Source organism: Homo sapiens, chromosome 8 (genome assembly GCF_000001405.40).
Source record: "Homo sapiens chromosome 8, GRCh38.p14 Primary Assembly".
NCBI classification, from domain to species: domain Eukaryota; kingdom Metazoa; phylum Chordata; class Mammalia; order Primates; family Hominidae; genus Homo; species Homo sapiens.
Window position 1 is genome coordinate 114,312,612 of NC_000008.11, and position 25,091 is coordinate 114,337,702.

General features: G+C 32.9%; 1 pseudogene; it reads right to left on the reverse strand.

Annotated features, from left to right (window-relative positions):
* On the reverse strand, positions 5,686–6,320 carry LOC100420746 (NADH:ubiquinone oxidoreductase complex assembly factor 7 pseudogene; annotated as a pseudogene).

The window sequence follows — 25,091 nt, forward strand, 5'->3', positions numbered from 1 at the left end:
TAGCTTTAATTATTCCCATATCTATATCTCCATGACTTCTCACTCTCTCTTAAGTTTGAGAGCCATGTATCCAGCTGTCTTTGGTGTTTTATTTTTTCTAGATGCTTAGCAGTTCCATTGTGCTCCAACAATTTTGGCTGCTCATTTTAGGACAAATAATTAGGGAAAGAACTTTAATTTGGGGCACCAGCAACTTAATTATACTTCCCAAAATATAGATAAAATATATGCCTCCTGACAAAGTGACTATCTGTTAAAATACTTGTGCACTACAAGATGAAGCTTGATACTATAGCATGGTGTATAAGATACTCCGTGACATAACCCCTGCTTGTAAATCTCGGCAATCCTTCTTAAATTTAGGCCCTCTGTGAATATGGTTAAATGTAAAAAACTGCCGATACTCTGCCTTTTTCCAAGTTAATCTTTAAACTTAAAGTGTCTTATGAGATCATTTGTAGTCTCACTGCTTGAAACTACTCTAAAATAGAGTAAGTAGTGAATTTTTTTCTAAGTCATTAGCTATTCTAGGTTTCCAAAATTATGCCATTAATGGCTCAACCATTAAAATATTCAATATTTTTGATATTTAGAAACATAGGTGAATAGTGTATTTATCTTGTAGTCTTAACTTAGTGACAGTAAATAATTATATGTCAACTGTGGCATTATTTGGCAACTGTTTATAAACAAAACTGAGCTTCAGTTACAATATAAACTTGGATTTTTACTTCTATTTTGTAGATTCCACATTTTCTGTCTTTTCAGACTACTAGTTACAATGACTGACTTATTTATAATTTGATCTGGTGTCCAGATGTGCAAACTTTCTTAAACCAAATGTTACTTTTATTTTCATCAGTTTGTTTTCATTATATGAGAAAGCATATTAGAGTGGCTATTAAAGATCTAATGTATTCCATTTACTGTGACTTTTTTTTCAACCCAAATGCTGTTTTGTTATGTATTATTTAGTCAAGGCCTTAAATGTAATATATTTTATCTTTTTTTAACTTTTATTTTAAGTTTGGGCATACAAATGCAGGTTTGTTACATAGGTAAACTTTGGTCATGAGTTTGTTTTACAGATTATTTCATCAAACGGGTATTAAACTTAGTATGCATTAGTTATTTTTCTTGACGCTCTTCCCACCCTCCACCCTCCAAACAGCTTCAGTGTGCATTGTTGCCCTCTGTGTATCTATGTGTCTCAACATTTAGCTCCCAATTTGAGTGAGAACACGTGGTAATTGGTTGTCTGTTCCTGTGTTAGTTTGTTAGAGATAATGGTCTCCAGCTCTATCCATGTTCCTGCAAAGAACATGATCTCATTTTTCTTAATTACTGTGTAGTATTACACGGCATGTATGTACCACATTTTCTTTAGCCAGTCTATCATTGATGGACATTTAAGTTGATTCTATGTATTTGCTATTGTCAAAAGTGCTTCAATGAACGTGCGCATGCGTGTATCTTTATAATAGAATGATTCATATTCCTTTGGGTACATACCAGGCAATGGAGTTGCTGGGTTAAATAGTATTTCTGTATTTAGGTTTTTGAGGAATCACCACAGTGTCTTCCACAATGGCTGACTGGCAGGGATGAATCTCTTAAGTGGAAATATTTATAGCAAAGAAAAAAATAAAGAAATACATACCTGTACTCTAAGAGGAATTTATTGGTGAGAAAAAACGGTAAGATAGTTACAAAAAAAATCTATATGGAAATCACAAAAAGAAGACAATAAAAAGAAAAATGGTAAGTGACTTTTCAGGATTTTGATATATGTGTTTGGCCTGCTAATTATAACAAGGCTTATATTTCTTCAATGATTATTCTCATAATTATTCTTATATCTCTGAAATGGTAAGTAAAACATGGTGGGTAAAAACAAGAAAACAAAACAAAAGAAAAATAAAGCTTATAGATTTGGTGTTATGTATACCAGGTTTGAATCCTGGTTCTATTTTTTATTGATCATAGGGTTGTGGCTAGGATACTTAACATCTCTTAGCTTCATTTCCCTCATTAATAAAATAAAACTAAAATAATATTTTAGGGCTAATATAAAAATAAAATGAGGTTATATAAGTAAAGGACTAGGAGCATTGTCAATTTTAATTACCTGTTAATTCTCTTCCCATCTGTAGTAATAAAAATATGATTACCTTTTTTCTTAATTAATACTTAGGAAATGTGTTCTACTTTTTTCTCTGAATTTTGAACATATTCGTATGGAATCCTAAAAGGAAGTTGAAATGTTATGTCCTTGTAGTATGTATGTAATTGTTGTAAAGTGATTCTTTTAAATTAATAATGCACAACTTTTAAGCTTTTCTTTTTAAACTTTGGTAGTTGTTAATCATTAGAGGTAGGTTGGAGTTAATCATATTTTCAAAATGGCAAAATTAAGTCAAACCTGGCTTATAAAATCCAGATTGTATGTCCACTGGATTTACAGAATTATCAGATGGATAATAGATTGATCTTAATTCTGCCCTTTAAATTAAATGCCAGAGTATTATAAACCTGGGAGAATGACATTTGGGAACCAGAGTTGTATCCTCTGATCGTCTTTCATAATAAAAGTCTTCAAAATTGTAAGGAATAATCCTAGCACTTTGGGAGGCCAAGGCAGGTGGATGGCTTCAGCCTAGGAGTTCGAGACCAGTTGGACAACATGCAAAAATGCATGTCTCTACAAAATTGCAAAAATTAGCCGGCCATGGTGGCATGTGCCTGTAGTCCCAGCTACTCCGGGGGCTGAGGGACGAGTATTGCTTGAATCTTGGAGGTTGAGGCTGCAGTTATCCATAATTGACTGAGCCACTGCACTCTAGCCTGGGTGACAGAGCAATAATTTGCCTCAAAAAAAAAAAAATGCAACAAAAAGAGTGCCAAAGATAAGATGTTATCTCATGGAAATAGCATGGAATAGGATGATCTACATGAGTTGATTCACTAGTTGTATTTATTAAAAATAACTGCTTCGTATAAACTAATACTACCTAATATTATTGATAGTTTACTTATGTCAGACATTATTCCTTGACCTTTTACATATAGTATTCATTCCTCAAAATAATCTCATAAATTACATACTATAATTATTATTTAATGAAGATAAAACCACTGAGGCAGAGAGCTTTTAAGTAACTTGCCTAAAGTCTAACAGTTAAAGAATTGATAATGTAGAATTAAAACCTAGGCATGTGGCCCTGGAGGCCATATTCTCCAATGCTACAATACAATTGATTATGTCATAGTGTGTCTATGGGGCTGACTTAATGGACCTATGACCTGTCCAGTTGCACAGGGCACCATGCTTACATGGATCTGCTCTTGGTTTAATGTTGTGCTGCTGACATTTTGGAATTTTTAATAATTTGCAAAAAAAGACCCCACATTTTCATATTGAATTGAACCCCACAAATTATGTGGCCAAATCTGTGTATGACTCTCTTGGCCATGAAATAATACACTTCATAGGTAGAGATGATATGAGGAAGCTCCTCTCACTGACAATTATTACAATGTGTAATTTAAACCAGTGGGAGAAAAATGAAACTATCACTAAATAAGATATTAATTACACTCTTTATATAGCAAATAATGAATTGTTATTTATAACAAATAAACATAAGCCAACTAGTCTCACAACTTCCTTATGAATATAAGCCTAAGAATATAATTACTTGTCTTCATGCTTACCATAAAAGGGAATATTCAATAAATCCTAATATATTGGGAGTTTCAAACATACTTCTGTTGCCAAAATATTATTGGAGGAATGAGAGTCTGTTGTTGAAAACTTAGAAAATAAAAAGACATGGTGCTTAACAGTGAAATATCAAATTAAATCTAGTAAATATGTTATTATTCTCACCTGTTAATATTAACAGCAAAGTAATTTTAATGTTTTCAAGAGCTGAAAAAAGATACCATGAATTGTGTATTACCATAAAAATTTGAGGTAATATTACAAAACCTAGTTTTTTATATATGCATAAAAATAGTTTTCACTGATTAGTAATTTAATTTTTTAAATAAATGCCTGAAATTTAAAACAGCATTATTGTAAAATTATAAATGGTTCTTTTTTTGCTGAGTAAAACAAATGAGCAACATTCAATTCTTGTTACAAAAGTGCTATATTTCTGAGTACATTTATGAGAGAGATTTCTGGATTTAATTTTCCTCATCTACGCCATGTAGCTTAGCAATAGTGTCATTTGGGATAAACATATTTTCTTTACAAACAAGCTAATGAAGAGTTTATGGATGGATAATCTACATAAGTTTTGTTTCTGCCACGTTGTATTTATTGAAGTTTTATTTGATAACACATGATATGTTTATGTATGATCACTTGGATTTTATCGTTTGAGGTAAATTGCCTTATATCATATTGAGTTCCAATTTATCAAAGTAAAAAGTGACTTCCAATAATCATAACTCTGAAATCTATTAAAAAAATATTTGGCATATGCAATTACTCATTTCAGACATTCTTTTACATTTGAATCTAAAATTCATGTACAAAATTTTATAAAATAAACCAGAGTAACATTCTATAAATATTCAACATCTGCTATTTTAAAAAGCCTGAACTTATTTCACTAATTGTTATGTGGTGATGTTGAAAATAACTGAAAAATCAAACAGCTTCTTCCAGGATGTGCAGTGTAGCCAATATAAAGCCTGTCCAACAACAGCAAGAAACAAAAGTAGATATAAATCACTGAATTAAATCTTATTACAGTCTAAGTGCTTCTCCTCTAATGATACTCACATAATTCTTATTGTGTAATTCAAAAATATTAGAATAATTAAAATGATGTAGAATGCCACATCTCTTGGAAGCATTAGATTATTGTTAATTCTGACAGATTTCTATAATCCAAGTCACAGTCTTCTTTTCAGACTGTATGATTAACTTACTTATGACTTATTCCTAATGTAAACAATATCTCCATGGAGAAAACTATTACTATTTAATGGCAATTTTAAAAAGCATTAAATTTGTTCATATTGTCAGATAATGAACAATATAACAGTGTATATTAAGCACCAATCCTATGTATACTACTTTGGTAAAACTAAAAGGACCAGAAAGAAAAAACATAACTATATTGCAATTTAGATGATATTAAAAGTCATAAGTAAAAAGAAAAGCAAAATCTTATAACAGACATTGAACAAAATAGGCTTTCATTACTATGGAACACAAAAGAGGAAGGAAAGTGTTGATATGAAATATCTGTGTCTAGATACTGGCTTCTTGATGATTTTTTTTATCTTTTATTCCTTATCGTATTCATTCCTTTAGTTATTTAAATATCCAGCAAGGGTTTTTGGACATCTTTGAGTAGAGAATACTTAAGTAATTACATAATATGGATCTGAAGATATGAGCTTTATGATTAATTCCTATAAATAAGTTATGAAGTTCCTGTTACAGTGGTCATAAATATAGGTAAGAATCCATTATGTATCTGGGTGGGAGTACAGAATGGAGAGCTGAGGATTGTCTCTGATTACATATGAAACTTCCACTAACTATGAAGTTATCGGTCAGTGTTTTCTGGGGAAAGCACTTCAACATAGGCAAAGTCTTTCTAACCTAAAGAAATTTAAATATAGGGAATAAAGTAAATCAAAACAACATTTTGATATTTTGTGTATTTTGTGTTTCTTTTTTTACCTGCAATGTATGAAATGTGTTTCCTTTGTTTTGATTTCTTGGGCAGACTGAAGGGTAAAATATCCTTGCTGAAATATATCACTGCCAAACAAATTCACTAAATCCAGCTACAGGAGATGCATAGGGTTTTGACTGACACAGATTCATCTGATTCCTTCCACCTTGAAGTCTCTGATGAAGTAGCAAGGCAAAAATGTTCAATCTTTCTCCCATCTTCTTCGGATTCATTAACATATCATATCCTTGAAGTAATTGCTGACTCATTGATGTCTCATTTGATTTATCTAAAAGAATCTTCAGCTGGACATCGATACCCATATTTTAAAAAAATGTGGGTTGTTTTATTGGGCCCAGAGAGCTACTTTTCCCTGTGCCATTCTTTGCAAATAACTGAAATCCACATCAGCTTTTAGATCCGCTGTTCCTGGGGGCAATTAAGACATCATGAAACTTGTGGCCACAAAACCCTCTGAAGGTCTCTGTCTTTGTTCCATCATGACCATAATCAGCAACCTCTGCAGCACCTCCAGTTAGTGCAATGCATTGAGAAAGTTCCTCAGTGATAACACCAGCCTCAGGAAACACTTCAACTTGATTGCTTGTTTAATCTAGTGACTTCAGCCATTGCGACAATCTACTGTAATTGTGATTCGAATTAAAATTTTAATTAAGTGAATAAAATGGAGCTACTTATTTCACAAATATATAATGTTATTGCAGTATTTAAGACTATAAGGGCCCCTTATATTGATAAAGTTAATACTTACTTGGGAAGGTTTTGGTAGTAAGGCAATTAAGGCATATTTAATAGAAATATTAGCTGGGCATGATGGTATGTATCTGTAGCCTGAGCTACTCCGGAGGGAAAGTTGGGAGACTGACCGAGCCCAGGAGTTTGAGGCTGCAGTGAGCTGTGATCAGGCACCTGCACTCCATTTCAGTTAAAATATGCTGAAATTTATAAATTAAAATAATTTATAAGTTAATACCAAACATTTGGAAAAAAATTCACTTTTAAAAGTTGTAATGTTAAATCAAAGATTAATATTTAAAAGAAATTATGAAGTAATTTTTAGCATGCAAAGAAATGTTGCTCTCCAAAACACCTGTAAGTTCATATTTACATACAGTCCTGCTCCATGTGTGGTATGGATAGCATAAACTTGACTTTCTTCTCCATCTATGCTTTTACTATTCTCCTCACCAAGAATTCCCCAATTAATACTCTATTTCCACCTATTGAAATAATAGTCAAATTTAAAGGACTGAGCCTAAATTTCATTATTCTATAATATTTTCCAGATCCCTCCTTTTAAAATAAGTTATCTTTTTTGTATTTTTTACTGATTTTTCCCAATGATACACTTTGCTTAATCATAACACAAGTAATAAAATATTACATTAATTTACTTTAAATATTTGCAAATATCTGTCCCTTTCTCTATATTGCAGACTCCTGATATTAAAGGGACTGTTATAAATTTGCTTTCAATAGACAACCATTGGATTATAATATCAAAATCAGCAGCCATGCCTAGCCAGCCTATAAATGAATACTTAGCTTTGACTGTAAAAACAATATAGTACGTTAGATGAGAAAAAAGTTACCAATACTAGATAAATTCAATTCAAACTCCACATTTCAATACTTACAAGTCTGTTTTACATAATTTCTATTACAAAACAGTTATTTGCTGACTCATTGGGATCCTTTTGGACAAAAGTTGATTCAGTAAATTTCATGTCATCAATAACATTGAGTTGAGAAAAAAAATCAATGAATAACTGTACAGTTCATCAAGTGAACAGTCAATAAATTGAACTTTGTATTTTCCACAAGTTCTATTTTAAGGCATTTGATTTAAAACCCAGATTTTTTGTCAGTTCATTGAATAAAAGTTGGTAACATGAATAACAGGTATTAAAGCTAATAATATAGCTCTATGAAAATAAAGCTCAAATACAGCCGATTACATGTTATAATTAAAATGTGCATTTAAAAGGTGACTTTATAATAAAATGTATTGTACATGTTAGAGTATTAAAAAATCTAAATATTTTGGATTAAAACATTCCACTGTTTTTTTTTTGTTTTGTTTTTGTTTTTGTTTTTGTTTTTTTTTTGAGATAGAGTCTCACCCTGTAGCCCAGGCTGGAGTGCAGTGGCTCATTCTCGGCTCACTGCAAGCTCTGCCTCCCGGGTTCACGCCATTCTCCTGCCTCAGTTTCCCGAGTAGCTGGGACTACAGGCGCCCGCCCCCACACCCGGCTAATTTTTTGTTTTTTGGTAGAGACGGGGTTTCACTGTGTTAGCCAGGATGGTCTCGATCTCCTGACCTCGTGATCCACCCGCCTCAGCCTCCCAAAGTGCTGGGATTACAGGTGTGAGCCACCACGCCCGGCCACATTCCACTCTGTTTTTGAAAAGCAGTTTTGAAGAGCAGAGCAGATTCAGTTACATGACCAAAGGTAGCCCAGCCTACAGGATTTTATAAATTTCAAAATCTTATATGACAAGAGCAGTTGAATAACTTCATATTCTTGGAAAATATTGACATAATGTACCTTTTTTATTGTAATTCTCTTGCCATTAAAATTACAATGACGTTTTCTTTCTACATTTTTGTCTTCAATACAGCAGCCTGCCATATTGCTGAAGGTTTGTGAGACACAGCCTAGAAGTTTGTTATCAATCCTCATTGGTTGAGGCTCCTCCTGCTGTAGTTGAAGACTGTCTACTGCTAAAAGGAGAGAATATACTAGAAAGAAATAAAATTACTTGATGTATTTAATTTTTTCTGTTACTTCCTGTCCATTTGTTACTTCCTGTCCCTTTGTCACCGGAAGACATTCTGTATTTTCGTCCTGAGGCATCAAGTGCATTGAGAACAACAGAATGTAGACATTTGTGTGCTTCAACAAACAATGGAGTAAGAAGTAAATGAAAAGTTTTATGTAATAGAGATGTTGACAGATTCCATTTCATCTAGTGAACATATCCAGTATTTACAATCTTACCCCACACATATCATGCAGACTACCTGACTGTATGTTTTGCTTCTAGATCAAGACCTATTGTCCACTCTAAAACATCATGCACACATATGAAATCCCGATTGTCTACATTTATGGAACACAGTTTAAAATACTTCAGAAATATTAAAATGATAAATGTCAGCAAAATACAAGTTCATTTGAGATTCAACATGCATTCAACTCTTTATTTAGCTAGGAGTTATTTAATACCACATGCTGGCTACAGTGTTAGGGTCTGAAGTACATAGCTTAATAGGGTTAAACTTTGATATAGGAAGCAAAAAGCTATTCAATTATAAAACAGTGTTTACATACTTATAGGAAAATGCTTACAAAAATTATATGAAAGCACAATGAAGTGATCTATTTTAATAGTTCTACACTAGAAAAACAGGAATTAGTGGTTTAGAGAAGGATTTTTTGTTCAGGTTAGATTTGGAGAGGTCTTTCCAGAGTTAGTAAATACTTTCAGAAGGAGAAGAGAAAAAGCACATTTCAGAAAATAATTAATGACGTGAGCCATATCAAAGAGATATAACAGAGCATGGTTTATTTAAGAAACTATTCATGGTCCAGAATGGTAATGGTGTAGGATGGTTGTATTGAAAAAAAAAAAGTAGTCTATACAACAATCAAGTTAGCTTTTACCGTATTTTTAAAAACGATGTTAAGTAATTTTGAGTGATGTGGGTCACATTCTGCAGGGAATGGCTAATCATAAAAGTAAGCCAAAAACTATTTGGGGCAGGCATTTTTAAAACTTTAAATTAATTACCCTAACAACATCTTTCTAGAAAGCAACTGTGCCTGAAGTGCACTTAGGGCCAAGAAACAAGCAAGTATCTGCAATTTTATTAAAGTGTTGTTTGCCAGTCTTTCCTCAGAAAACAATAAGAGATTTGAGAAGAAAAGAAAAATAATCATTTATGTAGTTTTTGGCTCAGGTTTCAATAAAGAGACAAGGACAGATGATATATTAAGTCAAGAGCTTTCTTGATCTTGACCAGCGAATGAACAGAAAAGTAAGAGCTTCTCCCAAAATTCTCAGATGGATTGCCTCTGAAGCGCCTCCATTTGGGTTCAGTTTCTCATCTTTGGTTATTTCCTTTGATTAAGCATAAAGTGATGTGTGAAATAATTAGGAGAAGCCTGGATTGGCAGAATAGTTAATGCATCTTCATCTAAGATAAACACCTCTTCTCTTTCATCTCTCTATAGGTATTCTTGATTCATCTTTTTATTAGATTTCTTTTGAAGCAGTAAGGCTTTACCTCATATTGCAGGATTTCCTTCACCGTTATCTTTAATCTGCAAGTTAACATTTGAACCATCAACAAAATATATCACTATGATAAACCAAATAACAAGTAACCTTTATTACTTTGATATTTTGAAGTTCAACAAACCATAATCTTAAGGAGTATGTTTGGAGCGTGTCTGAAATAAAAGTGACATCATTGCAAAGTGTTATAGTTAAAAACAAGCAATCCAAAGTGAAACTAGGGCAATCTCAATTTCCTATAAGCCACGCTAGGCAGGTGAGATTTCTGCTTTGTTAAAAAGAGTGGAAGTGTAGAGCATAGATTAGAAATAGAAGCAATCCAGGACCAAAAACATCAGTTAGCTGAATTTGGAGACAATAAAGACAAGTGTTAAAGTGATCTGAGCTGGGGGCTAGAGGCTATTCATTAAAAAGATGAAACTATTTTCATTTCTACATTCATTTTTAACCATGACACTCACTTTGAAATATAATTTGCAATGACTCTATAAAGAGAGAACAAAAAGCATAAAGCACTGTGAGGAGGTGGAAATAAATAACTCTTATTAAAAACAAAACAAGGAAGTCAAAGCAAAAAAAAAAGTCCATAAAAAGTTTAGATACAGTTTGAAATAGAGCTTACCAATTAGCTTCACTACATGACTAAATTTATTTAAAAAGAAAAGTGAAAAGAAAAACAAATGTGGAAATGAAACACACCCATTTTGATGCCTTGAACTGATAAACGATAGTGGATGCATACCCACACACGCACACCCACAGAGAACTAAGCACTGAGAACATTAAATTTAGCTTATCTTAAATAAAATACTATATTCAACTCATTAATCTTTCTTTCTTGGTAATAGAGTTGTGATTTATAATTGTGACTATTATGGCACAGATTCATTTGAAAATACTCTATTATAATATTTAATATTTTGCCATTTCCTCTAGAGCTAAATTTCATTTATGCTAAACTGAAATAAAATCTGGAATAATTTGAAAATCAGTGGCATAGGCATGAAGACAGTAAAAATTGGCTACATAAATTTTTAGGGGCAGGTATGCTTTACAAGATCTCAGGTAAATTAGGGTCAAATATAGAAAACATGATTTGTATTAAGTAAGAATATAATTAAAAACTCCAAAGCAAAGTAATTGCAGTATTTTTCACAAACACCTACTTTTTAATATTTTATGTATAACATAATATTAGAAAAACACAATCAATAGGAAACAAGATTGTTTAACTTGACTGGATTTTCTTCTCACTTTCCCACATGTAGTATTTTGTAAACATATTTTAGAGTTAGGGAGCATAAAGAAGGTGGACATTTGATTTTTTATTAGAATGTATAATAAAATCTTGAGATAAAATTATCCATGATGTTTCGACATATCTTGTATTAGCTTTTGTTCCAGACTATCTTTCCAAGAAAGTTTATACAGCAAATGACGTTGAAAAACAGTGATCCCCCCAGGGACAGAGGACAGATCTGTGTCTTGACTTGAAAAAATAAAGATAACATCTCCTTCTGAGATAAAGTTTTGGCAAGCTTGCCAGTAATCCCCTTAGAAGACTGAAAGTTCTATAAACTCATTGTGTGTACCATCTACCTGGGCTGCTCCACACAGCTCCCATGGGATATGGGAGAGCAACAGAAACCAACTGAAACACAAAGCTGATGTTGCCTGCTATGCCTTGAGTTACTAGAAATTTTTTTTGTTTTTGATCTAGGAATTTCATGTATTTTACCAGCATCTGTGATACTGTGGGGTATGTTGTAAACTTGCAAGTACAATAAAAATTTCAGACCCTTCACAATTCTTAACATAAAAATGCTCAAATTTTCAATGAGAAATAAATTTTTAAATTTATTATTCTGATGAGGAAACTGAGGAAAGCACTGGTTAATTTATTTTATTTTATTTTTTGGAGATGGATTCTCGCTTTGTTCCACTGGCTGGAGTGCAGTGGTGCAATTACCTGCACATAAACAGTCAATTAACACGTTTTGTATGTTATATGTACTATCTACTGTATTCTTACAATAAAATTATCTAGAAAAAAGAAACTTATTTTAAAAATTATTGAAAAAAGAAAACCTGTTTACTATTCATTAAGTGGAAGTAGATCATCAAAAAGATCTTCATCCTTGAGTTCATGTCCTTTGTAGGGACATGGATGAAGCTGGAAACCATCATTCTGAGCAAACTATCTCAAGGACAGAAAACCAAACACCGCATGTTGTCACTCATAGGTGAGAATTGAACAATGAGAACACATGGACACAGAGTGGGGAACATCACACACCGGGGCCTGCCAGAGGGTGGGGGGAAGGGGGGAGGGTTAGCATTAGGAGATATTCCTAATGTAAATGACGAGTTAATGGGTGCAGCACACCAACATGGCACATGTATACATATGTAACAAACCTGCACATTGTGCACATGTACCCTAGAACTTAAAGTAAAAAAAAAAAAAAAAAAAGATCTTCATCCTTGTCCTCACATTGAGTAGTCTGAACAGGAGGAAAAAAAGAGCTGTTGGTTTTGCTATCTCAGGTGTGTCAAAGTCAGAAGAGATGGAGGAGATGAAAGGGGAAGCAAGAGAGTCAGGCACACTCAGTGTAGTTTTACACTAAATTGTACATTGTAACTTCTGACTTTTTGCTTCTTCATTTCTCTAAAAATATTTCTGTGTGTCACCAGTCCTTCTTCCACCATTTTCTTTTGTTTAAGTGCCCAAATCATGAGAGGCCTGTGTCATAAAAGAAGTCAAAAGCAGTCTTGAATAATTGGCAAACTTCTGCAAGATTGTCTAACATCAAATTCTTTTCTGACATTGCTTCTTCCCCATCTTCCTTATCATCTGGCACTGGTTCAGAGCACTTATCTCCATCAAGTCGTCTTCTGTAAATTCCTCTTGCTTGGTGTCTATTATCTCTAGAATTTCTCCAAGATCCATAACTTGAAACCCTCAAACCCCCACCTTTTTCGCCATATCCCCAATTTTTTTCATGATTTCCTTGGTGGGCTCTGTTGTAATTCCTGTGAGGTCATGCACAGCATCTGGACAGTTTTCTCCAGCAGGAATTTATTGTTTCAGATTTGATGGTTTTCACGGCTTTTTCCCTAACAATGATGGCATCTTCAGTGGTGTAATCCTTCCAGACTTTCACGATGTTATCTGTACAGGGGTTCTCATCTATAGCATTGGTAATCCTTTCCATAGAGTATCATGTGTAATGAGCCTTAAAGGTCTTTATGATCCCCTGATCTAGAGGGTGAATTTGATACATTGTGCTTGAAGGCAGTTGGACCACTTGACACCTTCTGTGTTGAACCCATGGGGTTTTAGGTGGCCAGGTTCATTGTCCAATATTAAAATAGCTTCAAAATGCAATCCCTTACTGGGAAGGGACTTCCTGACTTTAGGAACAAAGCATCAATCCATTCCATTTCAATGCAAACAATCCAGAATGAGAGTTCTCACTGTCCAGGCCTTCTTGTTGTACAACCAAAAGACTGGCAGTTGGTATTTATCTTTTCCCTTCAAGGCAGCTTTATAGATAAGCCTTGACCTTAAACCCAACTGAATTTGAACAAAAGTTTAAACTATCTCTTCCTGCCTTAAATCATGGTGCTTTCCGTTCTTTGCTAACAAATGTCCAGGTTTTTTTTAACAGTATAGTGCACTTTCATCTGCATTATGAATCTGTTTATGCAGGTACCATTTCTTTTCAATGATTTTCTTAATGTTGTCTGGGAACTAGTCTGCTCCGTTGGTCAGCAGGAGCTATTTCTGCTGTTATCCTGACATTTTAAAAGCCAAAACTCTTTCTGTAATAAAATTATTAAACCATCCTTTGCTGGCATTACATTTTTCAGCTTATATTCTTCACATTCACTTTTTCTCAAATCATATTACAGTCTATAGGTATGCTTGTCTTATAGTAGTCTTACACCCACATAAAAGCTGTATTTTGAATACAAGATAAAAAAGTATTTCACAAAAAGTGCAAAGTTTTTACACCTGCTGGTGTAGCTGCAGTGACAGCATCAAAGGTTTTTTTTTTTCTTATTTTATAGTGGGTCTTATGCTGGATTCTTTTATCACAAAATGGCTGTCAAATGTGGCTCCAAGACCTCAATCTATAGTACATATCAAGCAGTTAAACTTTTTCATATAATGTGATGATTTTTCCACTTGGGAGCACTTCCAGCATCACTAGTGGCACTTTGGATGGGCCTTATGGTGTTATTCAAGGTTTATGATATTGCACTAAACATAAAAAATATGTAAGAACTGTGGAGATCACGTTTTATTTTGATATACAATTTACTGAAGAGATGAACTACTCAAGGAGAGATGATTAGTGTCACAAGGCATTTTAAACAGATACTCATAACAGGCACTCACAGCAATAGCAACACAAAGTAGCTACAAAATTATTACAGCAGTACAGTATGCACTACAGTTAATTTTATGCAGTTACAATTTAAACCTGCATCTTTACACTTGTTACATTTTTATTAACCTGGAATTTTGCAATGTATCATCTATAAGTGTTTGTGTGTGTATCTTTTTATAAATTTTAACCTTTTATAATAGATTTATACATATTTTATAATAAATGATAATATAGATTATTATCAACATATATTTTATGCATTTGTAAAATATCTGGGTTTTTCTAAACTTTTGCAATATTTCTAGGCTATGTGGTTTTTCTGTAAGTTTTTTCAAATTGTTCCAATTCTCCCTTTTTTCAATATGTTTATTGAAAAAAATTAACATATAAATGGACCTATGCAAATCAAACCTGTGTTATTCAAAGGTCGACTATATAAGTTACATTTTATAATATATAACATGAAAAGTATATTATACATAAAGTAATTAAATGTAGTATATAATATATAAAAATAATAAAAGATAAACTAAAAGTAGTAAATAAGTGTTATTAATATAAGATATAAATATTAAAAAGTCATGTATTTCATATATATATAGTATCCTCTCTTTTTTATATGAAAAGTAGTAGCATGCCACGTTGGATTTTCATATATTGACTGATTTGCAGCTTGCTTCTTTTTTTTTTTTTTTTTTTGGGTTTTTGAGACACAGTCTTGCTCTGTCACCCAGGCTGGAGTACAGTCGCTGGTCTCGGCTCACTGCAAAGTCCGCCTGCCAAGTTCAAGCAATTCTTCTGTCTCAGCCTCCCAAGTAGCTGGTATAACAGGTGCACGCCACCACACCCAGCTAATTTTTTGTATTTTTAGTAGTGATGGAGCTTCTCCATGTTGGCCAGGCTGGGCTTCAATTCCTGAGCACAAGTGATCCACTTGCCTTGGCCTCCTAAAGTGCTGGGATTACAGGTGTGAGCCACCATGCCTGGACAAGCTTGCTTTTTGGTACTTGATATATCCTGGATGTATTTCAAAAAAATATATATAGTCATTTCCTTCTTTCCATTTGTAGTCCCATACATACTTAACTGTGTAGACACAGCATACTTTACTCAGTCACCAACTAATTTAAAAAATATTTTCAAACTTTGTATTATTTTAAGTAATGCTAAAATTATAAAGCTAATACATAATTTATTTTATATTTTTCACTTGTTTCTTGACATTTAAATGTTAAGTCAAAGTGGATATTCATGGGTAAATTTGCTAGATAGTACTAATTTTCTTTACAATTCCTACAATGAATATTGTGGGGAACACCGGATTGCTTGCTTCCCTCAGCCTCTGCAGCAATGCATGTTGCCAAACTTTTGCACTTTCTCTAATCTAATCACTAGGAAGTAGTTTATCACTGTTGTCACATTTTGATTTTTCTGTGAGAGGCTGAATATCTCTTTTTATTTTGTAATATTTGTTTCTCCCTTTTGTGAAGTGTCTCTTCAGATCTATAGTCTGTTTAGACTGCCGTAACAAATCATCACAGGCTGCTGGATGGTTGAACAAACAGAAAAGCATCTTTTTACAGTTTTGGAGGCTAGGAAGACCAAGATCAAGGTGCCAGATGATTCAGTTTCTGGAGTGAGCTCTGTTCCTGGCTTGTAGACAAACTGTCATCTCACTATCTCCTCACATGCACCACTGAGAGACAGAGACAGGGAAAAGGAAAGGGAAAGAGAGAGAGTGAGAAAGAGAAAGAGATAGCTCTCTTTTCTTATAGGGACACAAATCCTATTGAATCAGAATTCCACCTTTCTGATCTCCCTTTATCGTAATTACCTCCATAAAGAACTTATTTCCAAATTCAGCCACTCTGGAGATTGTGGCCTGAACATATGAATTTGGAGATGAGGGGTGGCACAAACATTCAGTCTATAGCAGTTTCTCTTTTTTTCATTCAGTCGTTGATCCCTCAGAAATTTTAGGAGTAGTTTATGGCCCTTTTCTGTGACAAATGAGGAAATTATTTATTTCCACTTTGTAAATTTTATTTTACTTTGTTACACTCAGTACTATGAAACAATGAATTTCATATGCATTTATTTTTAATATTACTATTGTTTCTTTAAATGCTTTTTGAATTTATGTCATAGTTAATATTTTTCTCACTCTAAGATTATAATAAAAACTTTCCAAGTGCTTATAAAATTTTTCTTCTGTATTAGTCCATTCTTGCACTGATATAAGGACATACCTGAGACTGTGTAATTTATAAAGAAAAGAGATTTAATTGGCACATCGTTCTGTGTGCTGTACAGGAAGCATAGTGACTTCTGCTTCTGAGGAGGCCTCAGGAAACTTACAATCATGGTAGAAGGTGAAGAGGAAGCAGGCATGTCTTACATGGCAGAGCAGGGGGAAGAGAGAGAGCGGGGAGGTGCTACACGATTTTAAATAACCAGATCTCATGAGAATTCACTCACCATTACTAGAACAGCACCGAGGGGATGGTAGCAAACCATTCATGAAGGATCCACCCCCATGATCCAACCACCTCCCACCAGGCCCTACCTCCAGCATTCAGGATTACAATTGAACATGACATTTTGGTGGCGACATACCCAAACCATATTACCTTCCTAAATGCACTGGAGAAGACCTCTTTGCATAGATTACCATTTAAAAGATTTTGTTTTGGGGCTATGTGATATATAGCATACACATGCGCATACTCAAATGCAGGTATGTAATGTGTATATGTGTATGATAGCCACCCGCAGAAAAAAGATGAACCCCACCCAAAATGTGGTTCAAATCTTCTAACTGATGACACCACACACACACCAAGATTATATAAAAAAGCACAACACTGGCTTATTACCAAAAGTAGTTAAGGATTTCTGGGGAAAATAGGTGACTCCCAGGCAGGTCCAAAAGTAACTTGAGAGAGAGCAAAAAATGAAGAAAATTTATACTAGTCCTGTAAATTTATTTTTTCTGAAAAAAGTTAATATCTGTTGACTCAACAGTACATTAAGAGAAATATATCCTGCAAGTCTTTTAGTAAACAACGAATGGGATAATCTCTAATACTGTTCAGACTCTGAATTCCTCCCCGGGCCTTTCACTCTTAGCACTGCCACTGCCCCCTTAAACAAATCTCACATTGTTGCTACAATCCTTGTCTTTCCCTTCCCTTCCACCCACCCACTACCTTTTATTTTACCTCACTTTTTTTTTTTTCCCTTTTCTACTTTAAACACCTTTTTCTGATCTAGGTACACGACGAAAACTTTCTATCCTCATTATAAAGTTTTTATCAAAATTCTCTTTATTTTCTGAGCCTTGTTAAAAAAATATCACTTCATAAAAACAAACAGAGGAGAGAAACCATATTCACCTCTAGGCTCTTGCATTTCTAAAATCTCTGTATTCCAATTCCCTTTTCCTGAAATAAGTTCTTACCATCACTTATTCAATTGTCTTTTCATTAGATTTTTGTGTTTTATTTTGATTATATGAGCATTTTTTTCAGTATAAATTAGTATAGCACTTATATGAATGCAGTACAATATCTAAAACAATACAGCATAATATATACAAACAAATAATTTTTCATCTGAAAATAACACTGGCTACAAGGTAACATGTTTTCTATCAATTTTGTATTTTTTTAGACTAGATAATAACATAATCTGTTAACTTATTAACCATTTCACTTGTACTTAAGAAAGGAACACATACATATAAGTTTCGATTTTTAAAAAATTATAGTGTTATGTGTGAGGTGAATTTAACACAGGTGAGCTACATGGTACCACAATAATCAATTCTGTAACATGGACAATGAGACTTTCTCCCCCTACTTCAATGTCATGAATTTATACTTCTTGCTAGTCCATTTTGTTTTTAACAAATAACATGCTATTATTTCACCAATCTTAAAAATATATCTCATTTTACTCATTTCCTCCTCAAATTATAGCCCCAAATTTCCTTTTCCCTTCACAGAGAGGCTTTTTTAAAAAAAATAATTACTTAGATTTGCTGTCTTTAATTCCTTTCTCCCATCTACTTTTGAATTACTCCAATCAGATTTACACATTCTGCACTCCATAGGCAGTCCTCAGATGTATGCTGTACAAATGAATGATGATGATGATGATGATGATGATGATGACAATGATGGTTTTATGCCTAACACTTAACTGACTCAGATGTTATAGTTTTATTTTGTGTCTTGCTCTGTTAATAAAGCCTGACTTTACATTTTTTTCTGTTTAAAAGGTTTTTACATCAACATTGCATTTGCAAGGTCATGAATGACCTTCATCTTTCTAAATCTAGTCAATGATTCCTACTTACCTTGCTTTCAGCCATATTTGATACAGTCGATCACTTCTCTGTTGTTAAAACATTTTCTTCATTTACCTTTAAGGACCCTAAATCCTCCTGGCTTTCCTCCTGCTTGATTGACTTCCCCTTTGAGTCACTTTTGTTAGGTTCTTATTATAAATACCAAGATAATGCCTCTTATTGTTGGAATGACAAATATCTCCAACTTTGATCTTTTCCTCTCTCTATCCACTCACATCCTTGATGACTTCATATAGATATAGATATAGATATAGATATAGATTCTTAAACAACACTATTTGTATACCTAAAGAGAATCTCCTTTTAAAAAAAATTCTAAAACCACATTTCTGACCTCCTCCCAATGTAATCTTCCTACAGTATTCCCTATCACAAGAAATAGTAACTCTAGCTTCCAAGATGATCAAAGCCTTAAAGCAAATTTATCTCCCATAGCAGAGACTGACTAGCTATATAAAAAAAGATTATTTTCCTTAATTCCTGGGTTACAATAACTTTCCTAGTCTCCTTTGCAGTTATGTGTGGCCATGTGTATGAGCTCTAGTCCAACAGAATACAAATAAAATGAAGCACATCTCCTTTAGGTCTGGTCTATAAAAACATCCTGTGAACTATCTTCTCTTTCTTTCCTAAGCTCACAACAATGAAAAGTGGTCAATCTTTCACCAGCCTTTGTCCCTGAACAAATGAGTGAAGCAGTATTGAAATGTGTATGTGTGAGTGTATATATATATATATATATATATATATGTGTGTATATATATATGTGTATATATGTGTATATATATATGTGTATATATGTGTATATATGTGTATATATGTGTATATATATATGTGTGTGTGTATATATATGTATGTATATCTGTATGTGTACATATAATTTAAATATAAACTTCTATTGTGTTAAGTCACCAAGAATTGGGGTTTTGAATATTTGTAGTTATAAGGAGGAACCTCCATGGATCTCTTCTATTTCTAAACATATTGTGTGAGCAGAGACATTGACAGACTTGCTCTGGGCTAGTTTTTTTAAGTTGTTGGTACAGATAACATTTTTGGAAGAAAAAGATACTGTCTCCTCAAAATGTGTATTTGCTTTCTGTCCAGTTTAACAAAGATAATGTCTCCAATGGGAACAATGGTTGGGCAGGGCTACTTGTTATCTCATTATAGTAGATTATGTTTTTCTAAATTTAGGGTTCGTCAGCTGTGACACAAAACAAATATATGTGCAACCATCATCTAGGAACATTTGCACCACCCTTGTGGACAGGGTGGGCAAGCACAAACAGAAAACCTATGAAGCTTGCTGTTTTGTAATAAAATTATTTATCTCTGACCCTGTAATCTTATATGTTTTTGGAAGCAGAAGGGAGACAATAGAGTTCCTGTTATGTAAAAAGCATTCAGTGGAAGTTATCTGGTTTATTAAGTCTGTTTTATTCAACTACAGTATCATCCCTAGTTAGAAGACAAGTGATCCTCAAATGTATGGTGTATAAATGAGTGATGATGATGATGATGATGATGATGATGATGATGATTTTATGCCTAACACTCAAGTGGCTCCGATGTTGTAGATTTATTTTGTGTCTTTTTTTGTTTAGTAAAGGCTCAATTTTAAATTTCTTTTCTGTTTAAATGTTTTTTGCGTATACAAAGTTAAATGTAAAGTTATTTTGTTATAGCTTAAAAACTAATCTTCTGGGATATTAATTAGGATTGAATTCAGTCCATAGACTGGTTTAATAATTTATCTGTACAATATTATTTTTCTCTACTTATTCTTATCTTTTTTTGGTTATTTTGATTTTGTGGTCCTCATTTTTATTTACCTTTTGGTAGAAGTTTTCTTTTATTTTTCTTTCAGTGTTTTATTTTCCCTTGTTATGTCTCCAAACTTGTTTTTGATTCATAGATGAAAATATTTTTTATTAGAAAAGGAATAAGGAGTTATTGCATTGTACTACCATCTATTTCTAAACTATTGGGATTCTCTCAGATTTTTTTAGAATGTTCACTAAACAAATGCTGTCTTCTTTCTCTGGTGGTAACTTTGTTAATAATATTGTGAAGGGAATGTGATTACTTGGAATTTACTGAATAGTCTAATTCTAATTTGGCATAGATATTAGGTAAAATCTTTTTTTAAATTTTGTCTTGCCAAAGTCCTTGTGATATATATTTATGGCACCAAATATCTGGTATTTCTTTTTTTTGTTTTCTGAAATATACACCTGAATGGGATATTCTGAATTTTCTAAATGTAAAAACAGCATTCTATTAAAATACTTAATTGAAAAATATCATAAACTAACTTTTATATAAAACATCTATGCAGTTTCTATTGATGTTTGATAAAAATACATATAAATTTCTTCTTTGTGTCAGTGACACATAGAACATTCAAACTTTGTGTAATATTAAATTTTATGGTTAACTAATATATGTAGCGATCTAGAGTTTATAGAGAATTTCGAATATATCATTTAATTCTCACAAATGGTATTTTATTTCATCTTTCTTTTACCTAGGTGGCAAAGGATCAAAAGGTTATCACCTTGATAAGAGAGCTTAAATTTTTTTGTTTTGAAGACTGGGATTTTTATTCTCTTATATAATGTCTTTTGTGCTTTTATGCATAAATGATCTTGAAATTTCAAAAAATGCTTAACAATGAAACTATTTTTCATGTTAGTTTTATTTAAGATATCTAAAAGTGAAACTTTTAATTGTTTTGCTGTTCTCAACCTTGAAAACTTGAAAAATTAATCAGATTTATTCCAGTGATGATGACAAATGTAAATGGGAAGCAGGAATTTTTTGTTTTCATTAAGTATTCTGATATTCTCTATAACTTTTAATTATACAAAAATTGTGTTATATCTGTGCAGAAATATTCAAATTTTAAGTAATGGCTACTATTCAACTCTACTTTCATATTTAATTATTTTAAATACCCGTGACTCCAAAGTTTATGAGTTAGTATTTATTATTTTAACTAGTGCTTTGCATGTGTCCTTGTACATGAATTTTCAGAATGTTACAAATCATTATGCAAGTAGGGAATTTACAGATCCTGTGTCCACATTATAAATAGTCCCAATATATTTCACCCTCTTATGAGTTTCCATATGAATGAGGAAATTGACCTGATGCAGACCATAAGTCATACATAGACAGCCATCTTTAATTGTAAATTGTGGACTGAATTTTGAATTACTTATTTTTTTAAACTAGGTTTTTTTTTTCTATTTTTCAAATACCATAAATACACAATAAGTAATACGTATATAGTGTCAATTGAATCTTGTTTTCAAGAAGATAAATTCACACCATTAATGGTTAATGAATGATATCTAGCTGCATAAAGATATCTGAAAAATGCTAATTGAATTATAGCAAAATATTTATTAATATGGGCATATTTGTAAACTGTTTCAGAAAACTAGAAGCCATTTATTAATACAAGTAACGTAATAAGGGTGTATATAAGCAAAATCAGCTACCTCCATGAAGCTGTTGATATAATCTTTAACTTTTACTAATTTTTCTTGAAAATAGAGGTGAAATAATAATCCATAGCTATTGTAAAAAGGAGGTCAATGATATGATAGAAAAAATGATCTTTAACTTTTTAATAGAAATATTTTTAAAAAACTCACATGCAATTTATTTCTTACCCAATTAGTACAATTCTCTTGTCTGTGACAACCTAGAGCAAGACAATTGCCTTTTCCATATTTCTTACCTTCGGGTATTTGCATATAATTATTTTGTTTCCCCATAGGCTCCTCCTTTTTCATCAACACTTTCTCATTGCCTTTAACTATTCTTCTATGACATTCTTAATTTCCAAGTTACAGTGATACATATGTATGTATATAAATTAAAATATGCATATACTTATGTACTCCTATGCAATCTGAAAAATAAAACATTGAGGACAAAGTATTTTTAGGAAGAAAAAAGAATACTATTTGTAGCATCTTTTGACAGGGCAAAAGGATTCCTTTCGTTTTAAAAATAAACATCAATAAAAATGAAATTTGATGTCTTTTAAAATCTTCAGAGAGAAAACAATATGAGTTATGTGAAATGTTGACTCATAGACTTATTTTTAGCAGAAAAGAGAAGATAAATTACAACAAAATACATATTAATATTTCATGTTAGATTAATTGATTTTTAAAAGCATATAATGTGATTGCTTCGACTACCTTAATGTGTTGTCATTTTAGTTATTGTTTTGGTTTTAATTATGTATGTTACATAAAATGTAACATAGTAAAATTCTCAATATGTTATGGTTTCTATTTTCTGTTATATGTATAGTAAAGGCAAAACAACCTCAGACTATGATTCACTCTAATTTATCTTTATTCTACCTTGAAATAAATATTTTAGTCCATTGAAGATCAAGTTTAGCTTTGTCCCATATGGCTATTCATTGTTTCCAACTACATTTCACCATTTTTACCATAAATCAAATTGCAATATCTAATGGGACCATGTTTATCAGTATTCTGTTTTACATGGAAATGTTTATTTTTGTGTTAGTGCCACACTTTTGATAAGCTCTGATTTTGACTTTGTCTATTTAATAAAGGAAAATTAGCGCTTTAGGTCTTTTTAAAGCTTCTATTCAAAAACCTGTTATATACCAAGTGTCTTCTTGGCTTTCCCTCATATTTCTTCAAATCTCTTTCCCATGGGTGTCCTTCTACTTCTTACAGTTTGCTCTTGTTTCTCTATGTAGAAGAACTGCCCTCAGGCTGCCAATGCCCACTGTACTTGTGGTTTTTTGCACAAGTGACCAGAACCTTATGTCACAGATGACAGATTATAACTAAAGCCTGAGAGGTGAGGAAGTATTAATTCTCCAGGTCTCTTGCTGCTGACTGAGACAACTCCATGGTGTGACCAACACTCCCCAGAGCACCCCAGCATGAGCCAGAAATACCCTTTCTGGGACTTTCGCTGATATTGCACCCTTGCTTGGCTTCTTCCCTTTCTTGTCCCAATTTCTTTCATCTAATCTGTTTTTTTGTGGGGACGACTAAATTACTTCCACATAAATGTTCCTCTCTGTTGACGTCCCGAAAGTCCAACTTATATTTACTAAAGAATTCAAGTGTGATGGTACTGACACCAGACAAAATATAAATCAGAGTGTTTTATACTCATATAAGTTACAATCAGCCACGAGATCATTTTGTATCAAATATATTCATTGTCAGCCTACTAAAGCCCTGGTCATGTTCTATGTACTTGAGATGTAACAGTAAATACAATAGATAAAGTTTCTGTTTTTATAGAGTTTCTCTTCCAGTTTGGAGACATATACAAATAAGTAAATATATACACATATGTGTACACACATATATGCTTCGGGTAAAAAATAAATACATAAATAAATCATAAAAACAGAAAAATAATCTAGTGATGAGTACTATCCAAAAAAAAAAAGCTAAATTAGAATGTCATAGAAAGGAACTGGAATGATGCTTCAGATTTTTAGTCAGAGGAGGTCTCTGCCAAAGGGCTAGGTTGCATTGAAGTTGAGATCTAAAATGACAGGATCAATCTAAACCTTTGAAGATTAGGAATAAAAACACTCCAACCAGCAGGGACAGTGGGTGCATGAGCCCTAACATAAAGAAATTTTGCCAGAAATAAATAATAAAAAGTGGCCAGAGTATTTAAAACAGGATGAGTAAAAAAGCAAAATGTTTTTAAAAAGAGAGATAATCTGAGTCATTATTTATCAGGGACTTAAAAGTCATACCATGTGCTTTTATGTGTGTAGTAGAAAGACGTTGGATATTTGAACAGAGGAGTTACTTGATCTGATTTTAATGAAAAGACATTTTAGCCATTCTGTGATTAAAGGGTTCCAATACAGTATCTTAGGTTTGGTTCCCTGCAAACAGAAATAAGGGAAGCAGGATTGGGCAGAGGGAGAAAACAAACTGTGATAAAGGTGAAAGAGAAGGCTCAGACAATCCCACATGCGGCTCAGGAGCTGGCCCTCTGGAGTTGTCCCAAAGGGAATCAAGGGTGTTTGGGCCTTTATACCCTCACATCAGACAGTAACTAGATGTCATTTGCTCTATGGGCAAGGCACCTCCCTTTGGGTAAAGGCAGTGCTGCGAGAAGTACACAGCTGTGAGCCATCAACAGCCAACATTCCCAGCAGCTGGGAAAATGAGTGCCTTAGACAGGAAATTCTCTTTCTTACACACTTACTATGTGTGATATTCACTGATATTTTTCGTGAAATTTTGTTTTATTTTA